Source organism: Homo sapiens, chromosome 11, assembly GCF_000001405.40.
Source record: "Homo sapiens chromosome 11, GRCh38.p14 Primary Assembly".
Lineage (NCBI taxonomy): Eukaryota > Metazoa > Chordata > Mammalia > Primates > Hominidae > Homo > Homo sapiens.
The window spans coordinates 14,718,293-14,732,154 of record NC_000011.10 but is presented as its reverse complement, the minus strand read 5'-3'; the positions used below and the strand labels follow the sequence as shown (position 1 = coordinate 14,732,154).

At 36.8% G+C, this 13,862-nt stretch overlaps 1 protein-coding gene across 11 annotated transcripts in view, besides 1 other annotated feature; it reads right to left on the bottom strand.

Annotated features, from left to right (window-relative positions):
• Positions 1 to 13,862, bottom strand: part of PDE3B (phosphodiesterase 3B) — a 255,518-nt gene that overhangs the window by 167,167 nt on the left and 74,489 nt on the right. The gene's annotated exons all lie outside the window — the stretch shown is intronic.
• Positions 4,921 to 5,484: an enhancer, noted in NCBI's record as "OCT4-NANOG hESC enhancer chr11:14748217-14748780 (GRCh37/hg19 assembly coordinates)". NCBI's record gives its function as "activates a minimal SCP1, AML or CMV promoter by ChIP-STARR-seq in naive H9 embryonic stem cells {active_cell/tissue: H9 hESC(naive)}" and the evidence as "EXISTENCE:reporter gene assay evidence [ECO:0000049][PMID:30033119]".

The window sequence follows — 13,862 nt, the reverse complement described above, 5'->3', positions numbered from 1 at the left end:
CTGCATTCTCAGGGCCTTGGACTTTCGCTCTTCTCTCTACCTATAATGTTCTTCTCCAAGACATCCGCATGTCTCCTTCCCATACCTCCTTTAGGTCTTTTGTTGCTCAGATGTCACCTTCCTAGTGATGTCTTCCTCAATAATTCTGTTTAAAATTATAACTCCCCTTTCCTAACCCCTAGAATTCCCCTTTACCCTTCCTTGCTTAATTTTCCTCCACAGCACTTACTTATCAAAAGGTGAAAATATTTTTTACATTTATTTTCTACTTCCCTCTATAAGTGTATAAGCTCCATGACAGCAGAAATCGTCTGATTTACTTAGGTATCTCCAGCACTTAAGTCAGTGCACAGAACACACTAGGCGCTCAGTAAGCACTTTCTGAATAAATAAGTGAAATTTAAAAATTTCTTTTACTACTATGACTATCATTTGGGAACAAAAACGCTTAACTTATATGACTGAGTTTCTCTGTGAGAACTAAACTATAGCCTTATAACTATGTCATTTTTAATCTATATTCCTAATTTCCCACATCTGTAAAAATGACATTATACAAGTACAAGGGGTGTTGTAAGGTTAAAAAATCAAAGTAAAGGCCAGGCGTGGTGGCTCACACCTGTAATCTCAGCACTTTGGGAGGCTGAAGTGGGCAGATCACGAGGTCAGGAGATCGAGACCATCCTGGCTAACACGATGAAACCCCGTCTCTACTAAAAATACAAAAAAGTAGCCGGGTGTGGTGGCGGGCACCTGCAGTCCCAGCTACTCGGGAGGCTGAGGCAGGAGAATGGCGTGAACTCGGGACGCGGAACTTGCAGTGAGCCGAGATAGTGCCACTGCACTCCAGCCTGGGCAACAGAGCAAGACTCTGTCTCAAAAAAAAAAAAAAAAAAAAATCAAAGTAAAATGCTTTAAAACTTTAACATATTAAATGATGGTGGAAGGGTATAACAAATAGTTATTTAGAATATGAACAAAATATCCCCAACATTCTAAACATAAAACACAAGGAACTGAGACAAACTGATCTAACATGATTACCTGTTCCTGTATGTAAGTTAAAAAATTAGACATCTGTAATTGGAATATGGGTATCTAAGTCACTGCATACTTGAGATGCACTAAAAATATTTATACTACATTTAGAAAAAAAGTAAGTTAATTTTTCTGGATACTTTTTAATGTTTAATCGTTCATGTTTAATTTAAAAGTCTTGAGCTACTTAACCTCTCTATGATTCAGTTTTATCATATCTAAAATGAGAATAACTGCTAATGTTAGATACCAAATGATGATGACAGAGTGACAGAGGTCACATCTGATCCCAAATCTGGCTCTAAAGTTTTTGTTCCTTCCATTATACTTTTAGAGCTCATTCTCCAAAGTGAGTACAAAGATAAGGATATATCTAGGGAAATGTTGATATATCTTTCAGAAGAAGGGATAGAATACTATGTTTATGATATCTGATAATGCTCAAATAGCACTATTAGTATGTTTGCTATTAATACAACCACAACTTTGCAGAAACTTGTTAAAGTAATAACTAAAATAAGGTTGAAATGGCCTGAAACGTCTAAGAACATCCAGAGTAATATCATGTGTCCAACCAAGTCTCTGAATCTAAAATTTTAAAATAATTTATGCCTTTTTCTCTTATGCAACAATAATGTTAAAAGAATTTATAAAAGAATGAAATGGAAAGAACTTAGATGCTATCACAAGGAAATGTAGTGGATATCTGTACATTTTTGGCCACCCAACATCTGAACTTTCCTACACTTAGAAATTACCTACCTGAGGAGTGTTGATAGACCACAGAGCTTAGTTCTCCACACAATCTGAAAATATCCAATCCTCACTTTCCCAACTATTCTTGTAGTTACAGTATTAGTATGTGACCTTAGGTCAGCTACTCAGAAACACCCATCTTTAAACTGGGAGATAATGATGCAGAGGGGAGTATCAGAGAATCCATTCTGGAAACTGATGGTAGCAACATCGAGGTTCTTAGATAGCAGTGGAAGAGACAGCATTCATTGGCTAACGTGAGGGGCAAGTGAGTGTTCATTTTTGGTGGTAGCCATGCATGTATTCACCAGACTGATGTGCTGTGATTTTGGTTGTGGTCCTATTTGCTGCCTAACCTCTCCTATTCTGATCCTTTTATTGAGCCTAGTTCTACAACCCTCTCAGTGATTCTGTAAGCTTCTCAGTAACGTTTCAATTTTTTTTTTAGTTCTTAAAATATCCAGAGTTGATTTCTATTATTTGCAACTATGAACCCTAGTTTACAAAGCTCTATTTGATAACTTATTCAATCATTTTAGTCATCCATTGTTTTTATTACAAAGTATTTGAACACTCCATTAAATATAAAACAAAATTTTAGATTATGATTTTATACTCAAAATTTGTTTATATACTTGCACATAGAGATTAATCATACTTTATGTAATAGGTACAGTACTGAAAGTTAGATTAATCAACTTCTGAATATCAGTCATATTTATCTCACATTAGTTTGATCTTACAAATGTTTCAACAGAACTTTTTACTTGCAAATTTAAACATAGAAAATTATAAAATCTTGGCATTTTATTTGTAGTAGCTAATTTCTGTAACCAAGAGGGGATAAAATGGAGAAGTAAACAAAGGTGGCAGTGGACAATATGACTTATTTTCACAAAAGCAAAGCATCTCATTGAAGAAATTTGAGAAACTGCAACTAGCCTAGTTCCACCCAGGACAGAACTTTATTGCTTTCAGCCAGAGGCCACTGTAAAAATAAGCACAATGTGATCTTTGAAATGTTATTTTACAAATAAACATAAAAGTATATTCAAGTTCATTTCAAAAGAAGGAAATAATCACAATACATTACTGTCATTTTATCTGGAATTCCTAAAACAACTGAGCTATGCTCTGATCAACAAAAAGTTTGAGATGCTTTCTGTGTTCACATCAGTCAATAATGTATTTACTGTTGGGATCTAATACAAGAGCTAAGGAAATTATCTCCAGGAAACATTTGATCTTGCCCAATTTACTGAAAACTATAGCAGAGGTAGTAGGGAAGATTCTCTAACTCAGGGACTGCTACAAAGATAAATCAGCTGTATGGGAGTAGACAAGGTGGTTCACGGGTATCTCTTCAATGCATCAATGAGCATGGTCTGGAAGCAAACTGCTATAAAAGCTGTCTAAGCTTTCAAATAATACAAATGACTACATACACTTAAAAAAGACCTCCTATAATTACTTTTAATTATTCTACAGAACTCTGATAAATGAGTCAACATGCAGTTTAGTTTTTATATTCAAAAGACCTGCAAGCTTATATAGTAGTATAGTATTTTTATGTTTATGATAGCTGAGTAAATAAAAATTTAAATATCATAATTCTATCAAGAATTCTGCTATGACATAGAATAATTACCTGTTTAAGAAGGCCCAAGAACAACTCCATAAAACAAGTGTAAGAGGAAGCTTAAGTATCAAGTAGATCTAGATTTCAATCCTAGTTCTACTTATCTATATGATCTTTATCAACATAATTAACCTCTGCAACCTCAGTTTCCTCATCTGTAAAAGGGAAATTATAATACCTCGAAAGACTTCTGTGAGAATGAAATGATATACTGCCCTATTACTGAGTTGCCTAGAACATAAAATGTACTCTAAAAATGTTACTTCCTCTTCCTTTTCTCTGATTCCCTTAGATCCTCTCCATGGCCTCTGACATTCTTTACAATGTTAGCATGAAAAATACTGACTAAATCTAGGTTTTCAAAATTTCTCCACAATTGTAGCAGTAGAAACATTTTCATTAGGTTACAAGTATTAGTGACTTTCACAGAAAGCATAAAAACATAAACTTTTAGCTTTTCAAAACTAGAAAACAACTTTATATAACACTATCAGCCACAGTGGGTTTAGCCAACCACCTGAAATGAAAGAGCTTGTTTAAATTCATAATTTAAAATAACCCCAAAATTTAAATTGCTAAAAGCTTTTGCCAGCTAATCATATTATTTATAACAAACCATTAAAACATATGCATATATTATAAACTCTGTGAAAAGTAAGCATGTATGATAGATCTTTCTATAATAGATAAATGTAAGAAACTTGTAGAACTATCACATAAACAGTTCTAACATTCCTTTTCAACGATGCCTATAAGCATGCTCTTCATCACTGTCAAAATGGAATGTCATAAAACCAAGAGTATATTTAAGTGTAAACCTGCTATAGCTACTCTGACACTCTGGAAATGGTAAGCCTTGTAAGGTTTGTAAAACCACTCAAGGAATAAATAGTGCTTATTATTGTTATAAGCACAAATGAATTTTAAAATAAAGTTCACAGCCAACAGGGTAGGCCAAAAAAGACAAAGGAGAAAAAATGCAGTTTAGAAAACAGATCTATCTGATTAGCAGATTTTTATTCCATTCATTATGTAATTAAATGTCCCATCTAGCCCTAACATTTGATTATTGTAAAAATAATAGAGTTACCAATAATCCAGTCTAAGACATAAATTCACATAACAGATATAAAAGTGGAGAAAAAGAAGTATTAACTTTACCAAAACAATTCACCAAAGGCATATTAGTTTAACATAATTAGAAGATGAAACATTTACTTTGTTAACTTAAAGACAGAATAGCATGGTGGCTAACAGCAAAAGCTCTACAATCATACCTGTAGCCACTTATGAACTATATGATCTTGAGGAAATTACCTAAGCCCTCTGAACCTCAGATCCTTAGATCCTCTACTGAGGATAATAATAGCACCTGCCTCCCATGGTTGTTTTGAATATTAAGTTAAAAAAATGTAAATTTCTTCAAAAGACCCCACATAGTAAATATCAATACATGTTAGTATTATATTATTACAGTTTCTATCACTATTAACATTTGAAATCATCTATGATAGTTATATAATACGGTAAAATCAGCAAGAAAGGCAAAGGCTTAATTTACTGAAGAGTTATAACAAAAAGAAATGTGAATCATTTACCAAGGACTCTAATGAAATTAAAGAAGAAAGAGAACTTTGGTAGATAGGTTTGAGGAGAAAGGTAAGCTTTGCCACCTTGCAAAAAGGGATTATGAATCAATCCTCCAGTTAACTGATGACAGCTAGACCTCAAGGGGAGATAATCAAGATGAATGAATTGCAAATTCAGAAAACTCTGGGGGAATACTTAAGTCCTTCCTTGATTACATTTCCTCCGTTCAATGATCATTCAATTCTCTGTTCTTCACAGCAAGACTTCTCAAAGGAGTCTACTTCACTCTCCCTACCTCACCTGTCATACTCCAGTCTGATTTCTACCCCAACCACTCCACTGAAATAACTCTTAAAAGCCACAAAACAATCTTCATCTTTGCAAATCCAATGGTTAATTTACAAACACATCTTAATCCAGCCTGTAAGCATTATCCAACAAAGCTGTGTCCTTAGAACATTTCCTCTCTTAGTTTCAATGATATGTCTCTCCTGGTTTTCCTCCTAACTTGTTGGGTCCTTCTAATCTGATTTATAAATGAAAAATCAGCGAAAGGCTTGAATCTGGGTCCCTTTTCTGGTTTGGCTCCATACTATCTCTTGATAATTTCATCCAGTCCTACAGTGTAAATGACCATTTATATGCTATTGACTACTAAATTTACATTTCAGCACTGAAATCTCCTCTGAGCTCCAGACTTATATATTCATTCATTCATTCACTAAAAAAAAATGTTTATGGAACCCACATATTATATACCAGGCATTATTCTTGGCTGTTGGGATGCAGACATTAATAAGACAGACAAGGTCTTTGCATTCTAGAGGGAAAGAAAAAATAATAAACAAGAACATATTAGATGATAAGTGAAATGAAGAAAAATAAAAATGGGCTAAGGGAATACAGAATGATAGGCAGGTGTCAAAGAAGGCTTATTTATATAGGGTGGTCAGGGAAAACCTCTTTCATAAGATCACAGCTGAACAGAGACTGGTATGAAGTGAGGGAGCAAGCTAAGTGAAAATATGGGGGAAGAGCATTCCAAGTGAAAAAACAGCAAATGCAAATGCCCTGAAGTCTGGAATAATACTGATATCTTCAAGGAATAGCGGAGTCTTGGCCAGTGAAGCTGAAGTAGAGGGAAAGAGCATTCCAAAATGCAGTCAAAAAAGTGACTAGATCATATAGAGCATTATTGCCATGGTAAACTGTGTCGATATTATAGGAAACAACTGGAGCATATGATCAAAGAATTTTGGTTTTTAAAAGATCATTCGGGCTGCAATGTGAATACCAGATTATATGGGGACAAGATTGGAAGCTGGGAGATCAGAACAGAGGTTACTCCAATAGTCTAGGCAAGAGAAAATGGTGGCTTAGAGTAAAGAAATAGTGCATATAATTGAAGTAATCATATTGAGCACAAATGTTAAAGATGGAGTAGTCAGGAGCTGCTAATGGACTGAATATGGAGTATAAGAAAGAGAGAGAGAAAAAGGAAAGGAAAGGAGAGGAGAGAACAGGAGAGGGGAGGGGAGGGAAGGGGGAGGGAGGGAGAGGGGAGAGAATAGGCAGGAGGAGGGAGAGGGGAGGGGAGGGGAAGGGAAGGGGAGAAGGAGGGGGAAGGGAAGGGGGAGGGGGAGGGAAAGGGAAAGGGGGACAGAGGGAGGAAAGGAGGGAGGGGTGGAGGGAGGGAAGGAAGGAAGGAAGGGAAAAGAAAAAGAGAAAGAAGGAAGCAAGGAAGGAAGGAAGGAAGAAAGGAGAAAGAGAGAGGAGAAAGAAGAAAGAAAGAAAGAAAGAAAAAGAAAGAAAGAAAGAAAGAGAAAGAAAGAAAGAAAGAAAAAGAAAGAAAGAAAAAGAAAGAGAAAGAAAGAACGAAAGAAAGAAAAAAGCTGCTGGAAGTTTGAGCCTGCCAATTTGGGTGAATGGTGGTGCTATTTACTAGCATGCAGCAGCCCCTATTAATCACTTGGATTTGGATATAGATACCTCAAAAGTAGCATGGCTAAAAAGAAGGAAGTTCTTGATTTTCCTCAAAAGCCTTGTTCCTCTTCTAGTCTTCCCTTCCTCAGTCACATAATCCTTTTCTATTTCCTTTTAGTACCTGTACCTATCTAAAGTATTTATGTTTATTTACGTACTTTCTACTACAGTTTAGGTTCCATGACAGCAAAGATCTTGACTATCTTATCCCTGCTATATCCCTGGATTCCATATTTGTGCCTGGTATATAATAGGCACTTGATAAATATCTGTTGAATAAATAAATAAATGAGTGAAAGAATCCTTCTACTATATCCTTTGTAGGTTATCCTCTTCAGTTTGGCCAGTTAATATTGGAGTTCCTCAACTTCTAGGCCTTCTTCTCTTCTCACTCCCTCTCACAAGGCATTCTTAACCATTACATCAATTACCATATATTTGCCCATTCCTTGAACATTCTTATCTCTGGCCTGGAGTTCTGTGTGATCCAATCTAATACAGGTTGAGTATCCTGATCTGAAATGCTTGAGATCAGAAGTGTTTCATATTTCAGAATTTAGAATAACATAATTCCATTACACTGGCTGAGCAACGCTAATCCAAATATCCAAAATCTGAAATGCTCCAAATGAGCATTTCCTTTGAGCATGACCTTCAAGCATCTTATAGGCATTCAAAAAGCTTCAGATTTTGGAGCATTTCTGATTTTGGATTTTCAGATTAGGGATGTTCAACCTGTACATCTTTCTCAACATTCCAAACTTGGATGTCTCAAACATATCTCAAATTCGGCAAAAGCTAACTAATGAGTTTTACCACCAAATGTGTCCCCCTTCCTATTAATGTTCTGTACCCTTAATAAATAGCATCATCATACACACAGATAGGCAAGTAGGAAATCTTTTCACCATTCTTAACAATGCCTTCTCCCCAACCCCCTGGTAATCAATTTTCTCACCAAGTCCTGTTGATTTTATCCTGTAACCATCTTTCAAGTCTATTTCTCTCCATTTCTGAAAAAACTTTTGCCAATACCTTAGTCCATCTTTTTTGTTTGGTTATTTCAACAGCTTCCTAAGAGTCTCCCCATAGCCACTATGGCATGTCTACAATGTCCATATTTTAACTACAATGATATTTCCAAAAAGAAAACCTTAACATAATATCTGTTAAAAACTTTTCGATAGCTTCCCTTAGGAAGTAGAATAAAACATCACCTTCCAAGGCCTTGCTAGTCTGGCCCATGCATATCTTTCCAGCCTAATCTCACACCACTCTTCTTTTTGTTTTCTGTGCTATAACCTTGTTGCCCTTCTTTCAGTTTGTAAGCATACCATTGCTCTTCAACAATAAAAACTTGCTTTTACTGGTTTTTGTTTTTTTTTTTGAGATGGAGTCTCACTCTATTGCCCAGGCTGGAGTACAGTGGCCCAATCATAGCTCACTTGTAGCCTTAAACTCCTGGGCCCAAACGATCCTCCTGCCTCAGCCTCCTGAGTAGCTAGGACTAGAGGTGTGCATCATCATTCCCAGCTAATGGGTTTTTTTTTAAATTTGTGTAGCAGCAGGGTCTCACTATATTGCCCAGGCTGGTCTCAAACTCCTGGCCTCAGGCGATCCTCCCACCTTAGCCTCCAAAATTGCTAGAATTACAGGCATGAGCCACTGTGCCTGGACCAGAAACTTGCTTTTATTAAAGGATCTCAGAACTCATCTTCATAGTACTGACCTCAGTCTGTAAATATGTATTTATTGTATTAATGTCTATGTACTTCAAAATGTTGTAAGTGGCATGAGATCTGAGGTTCTGTCTCCCTTTGCTCACCACTATATCTCCAGCATCCATCAAAATTTAAGAATCCCTCAGATGTTTAACACATGAATTTCTATACCTCAGAAGTTACCTGATCACAGTATGGTTAGTACAATGGCTAAATTGGAGTCAAAGTGATTTGGTTTTAAAGTCTGAAGTACTCAATACAATTCTGTAAGGACTAAATGATACAATGTCCATAACATGCTTAGGATAGTTTCTGAAACAGAGAAAGAGTTCAATACATGTTATCTATTGTTATTAGCTATTTTTCATTCATTCAAATGGCCAGATGCCATTTAGGATGGCTAGTGAAAATACTTAATTTCAACATTTTTCCTAACTATATTTACACCCTCAAACATATAAGGCTATAAATGTACTTTCATAAATAAGATTTGAAGGTTTAGAAAGCTGTATCTATTTATCATTTAACACCAAGCACCTCCATTCTAAAAAAAATATCATAACATAGTTAGCTTCTTCTACATAAAAAAATTACCCCAAAACTAAGCAGCTTAAAACAACAAACATTTTTTATCTCAGTTTCTGTGGGTCAAGAATCTGAAAGTGGCTTAGCTGAGTGCCTCTGGTTCAAGTTCTCTCATGAGGTTATAATCAAACTGTCAGCCAGGACTGCAGTCATCTCAAGACTAAACTAGCTCTGCAGAATCTGCTTCTCAGCTCGCTCACATGGTTATTGGCAGGCTTTAGCTCTTCAAAAAACTTTTTACCAAGATTTGATGTAAATATATGATAAAAATGTCTCTATTATTTGTAAAATTGCTATTAAACGATGCCGTCCACTATACTACTCAACAAATCTTACAAAACGGAATAAATTTCTCCTTGTTTCGTCTTTGGAAAAAGTTTCTCTCTTGACTCAATGGCATGTCTCATTACATAAAAATGTTATTTTTTTATTGGATTTATTTTTTTTACTCTATCTGCCAGTTGACACAGATGGATTTTTTGCTACCCTCGACTAGACTTTCCTAGATTTTTCCCCTTTTCTTTTTTTTTTAATTATACTTTAAGTTTTAAGGTACATGTGCACAACGTGCAGGTTTGTTACATATGTATACATGTGCCATGTTGGTGTGCTGCACCCATTAACTCGTCATTTAACATTAGGCATATCTCCTAATGCTATTCCCTCCCCCGTCCCCCTATTCCACAACAGGCCCTGGTGTGTGATGTTCCCCTTCCTGTGTCCATGTGTTCTCATTGTTTAATTCCCACCTATGAGTGAGAACATGCGGTGTTTTGTTTTTTGTCCTGGCGATAGTTTGCTGAGACTGGTTTCCAGCTTCATCCATGTCCCTACAAAGGACATGAACTCATCATTTTTTACGGCTGCACAGTATTCCATGGTGTATATGTGCCACATTTTCTTTTTTTTTTTTTTTAATTATACTTTAAGTTTTAGGGTACATGTGCACATTGCGCAGGTTAGTTACATATGTATACATGTGCCATGCTGGTGTGCTGCACCCACTAACTCGTCATCTAGCATTAGGTATATCTCCCAATGCTACCCCTCCCCCCTGCCCCCACCCGCACCACAGTCCACAGAGTGTGATATTCCCCTTCCTGTGACCATGTGATCTCATTGTTCAATTCCCACCTATGAGTGAGAATATGCGGTGTTTGGTTTTTTGTTCTTGCGATAGTTTACTGAGAATGATGGTTTCCAATTTCATCCATGTCCCTAGAAAGGACATGAACTCATCCTTTTTTATGGCTGCATAGTATTCCATGGTGTATATGTGCCACATTTTCTTCATCCAGTCTATCATTGTTGGACATTTGGGTCGGTTCCAAGTCTTTGCTATTGTGAATAATGCCACAATAAACATACGTGTGCATGTGTCTTTATAGCAGCATGATTTATAGTCCTTTGGGTATATACCCAGTAATGGGATGGCTGGGTCAAATGGTATTTCTAGTTCTAGATCCCTGAGGAATCGCCACACTGACTTCCACAATGGTTGTACTAGTTTACAGTCCCACCAACAGTGTAAAAGTGTTCCTATTTCTCCACATCCTCTCCAGCACCTGCTGTTTCCTGACTTTTTAATGATTGCCATTCTAACTGGTGTGAGATGGTATCTCATAGTGTTTTGATTTGCATTTCTCTGATGGCCAGTGATGATGAGCATTTTTTCATGTATTTTTTGGCTGCATAAATGTCTTCTTTTGAGAAGTGTCTGTTCATGTCCTTTGCCCACTTTTTGATGGGGTTGTTTGTTTTTTTCTTGTAAATTTGTTTGAGTTCATTGTAGATTCTGGATATTAGCCCTTTGTCAGATGAGTAGGTTGCGAAAATTTTCTCCCAGGTTGTAGGTTGCCTGTTCACTCTGATGGTAGTCTCTTTTGCTGTGCAGAAGCTCTTGAGTTTAATTAGATCCCATTTGTCAATTTTGGCTTTTGTTGCCATTGCTTTTGGTGTTTTGGACATGAAGTCCTTGCCCACGCCTATGTCCTGAATGGTAATGCCTAGGTTTTCTTCTAGGGTTTTTATGGTTTTAGGTCTAACGTTTAAATCTTTAATCCATCTTGAATTGATTTTTGTATAAGGTGTAAGGAAGGGATCCAGTTTCAGCTTTCTACATATGGCTAGCCAGTTTTCCCAGCACCATTTATTAAATAGGGAATCCTTTCCCCATTGCTTGTTTTTCTCAGGTTTGTCAAAGATCAGATAGTTGTAGGTATGCGGCGTTATTTCTGAGGGCTCTGTTCTGTTCCATTGATCTATATCTCTGTTTTGGTACCAGTACCATGCTGTTTTGGTTACTGTAGGCTTGTAGTATAGTTTGAAGTCAGGTAGTGTGATGCCTCCAGCTTTGTTCTTTTGGCTTAGGATTGACTTGGCGATGTGGGCTCTTTTTTGGTTCCATATGAACTTTAAAGTAGTTTTTTCCAATTCTGTGAAGAAAGTCATTGGTAGCTTGATGGGGATGGCATTGAATCTGTAAATTACCTTGGGCAGTATGGCCATTTTCACGATATTGATTCTTCCTACCCATGAGCATGGAATGTTCTTCCATTTGTTTGTATCCTCTTTTATTTCCTTGAGCAGTGGTTTGTAGTTCTCCTTGAAGAGGTCCTTCACATCCCTTGTAAGTTGGATTCCTAGGTATTTTATTCTCTTTGAAGCAATTGTGAATGGGAGTTCACTCATGATTTGGCTCTCTGTTTGTCTGTTGTTGGTGTATAAGAATGCTTGTGATTTTTGTACATTGATTTTGTATCCTGAGACTTTGCTGAAGTTGCTTATCAGCTTAAGGAGATTTTGGGCTGAGACGATGGGGTTTTCTAGATAAACAATCATGTCGTCTGCAAACAGGGACAATTTGACTTCCTCTTTTCCTAATTGAATACCCTTTATTTCCTTCTCCTGCCTGATTGCCCTGGCCAGAACTTCCAACACTATGTTGAATAGGAGCGGTGAGAGAGGGCATCCCTGTCTTGTGCCAGTTTTCAAAGGGAATGCTTCCAGTTTTTGCCCATTCAGTATGATATTGGCTGTGGGTTTCTCATAGATAGCTCTTATTATTTTGAAATACGTCCCATCAATACCTAATTTATTGAGAGTTTTTAGCATGAAGGGTTGTTGAATTTTGTCAAAGGCTTTTTCTGCATCTATTGAGATAATCATGTGGTTTTTGTCTTTGGCTCTGTTTATATGCTGGATTACATTTATTGATTTGCGTATATTGAACCAGCCTTGCATCCCAGGGATGAAGCCCACTTGATCATGGTGGATAAGCTTTTTGATGTGCTGCTGGATTCGGTTTGCCAGTATTTTATTGAGGATTTTTGCATCAATGTTCATCAAGGATATTGGTCTAAAATTCTCTTTTTTGGTTGTGTCTCTGCCCAGCTTTGGTATCAGAATGATGCTGGCCTCATAAAATGAGTTAGGGAGGATTCCCTCTTTTTCTATTGATTGGAATAGTTTCAGAAGGAATGGTACCAGTTCCTCCTTGTACCTCTGGTAGAATTCGGCTGTGAATCCATCTGGTCCTGGACTCTTTTTGGTTGGTAAACTATAGATTATTGCCACAATTTCAGCTCCTGTTATTGGTCTATTCAGAGATTCAACTTCTTCCTGGTTTAGTCTTGGGAGAGTGTATGTGTCAAGGAATGTATCCATTTCTTCTAGATTTTCTAGTTTATTTGCGTAGAGGTGTTTGTAGTATTCTCTGATGGTAGTTTGTATTTCTGTGGGATCGGTGGTGATATCCCCTTTATCATTTTTTATTGTGTCTATTTGATTCTCCTCTCTTTTTTTCTTTATTAGTCTTGCTAGCAGTCTATCAATTTTGTTGATCCTTTCAAAAAACCAGCTCCTGGATTCATTGATTTTTTGAAGGGTTTTTTGTGTCTCTATTTCCTTCAGTTCTGCTCTGATTTTAGTTATTTCTTGCCTTCTGCTAGCTTTTGAATGTGTTTGCTCTTGCTTTTCTAGTTCTTTTAATTGTGATGTTAGGGTGTCAATTTTGGATCTTTCCTGCTTTCTCTTGTGGGCATTTAGTGCTATAAATTTCCCTCTACACACTGCTTTGAATGCGTCCCAGAGATTCTGGTATGTTGTGTGTTTGTTCTCGTTGGTTTCAAAGAACATCTTTATTTCTGCCTTCATTTCATTATGTACCCAGTAGTCATTCAGGAGCAGGTTGTTCAGTTTCCATGTAGTTGAGCGGTTTTGAGTGAGATTCTTAATCCTGAGTTCTAGTTTGATTGCACTGTGGTCTGAGAGATAGTTTGCTATAATTTCTGTTCTTTTACATTTGCTGAGGAGAGCTTTACTTCCAACTATGTGGTCAATTTTGGAATAGGTGTGGTGTGGTGCTGAAAAAAACGTATATTCTGTTGATTTGGGGTGGAGAGTTCTGTAGATGTCTATTAGGTCCACTTGGTGCAGAGATGAGTTCAATTCCTGGGTATCCTTGTTGACTTTCTGTCTCGTTGATCTGTCTAATGTTGACAGTGGGGTGTTAAAGTCTCCCATTATTAATGTGTGGGAGTCTAAGTCTC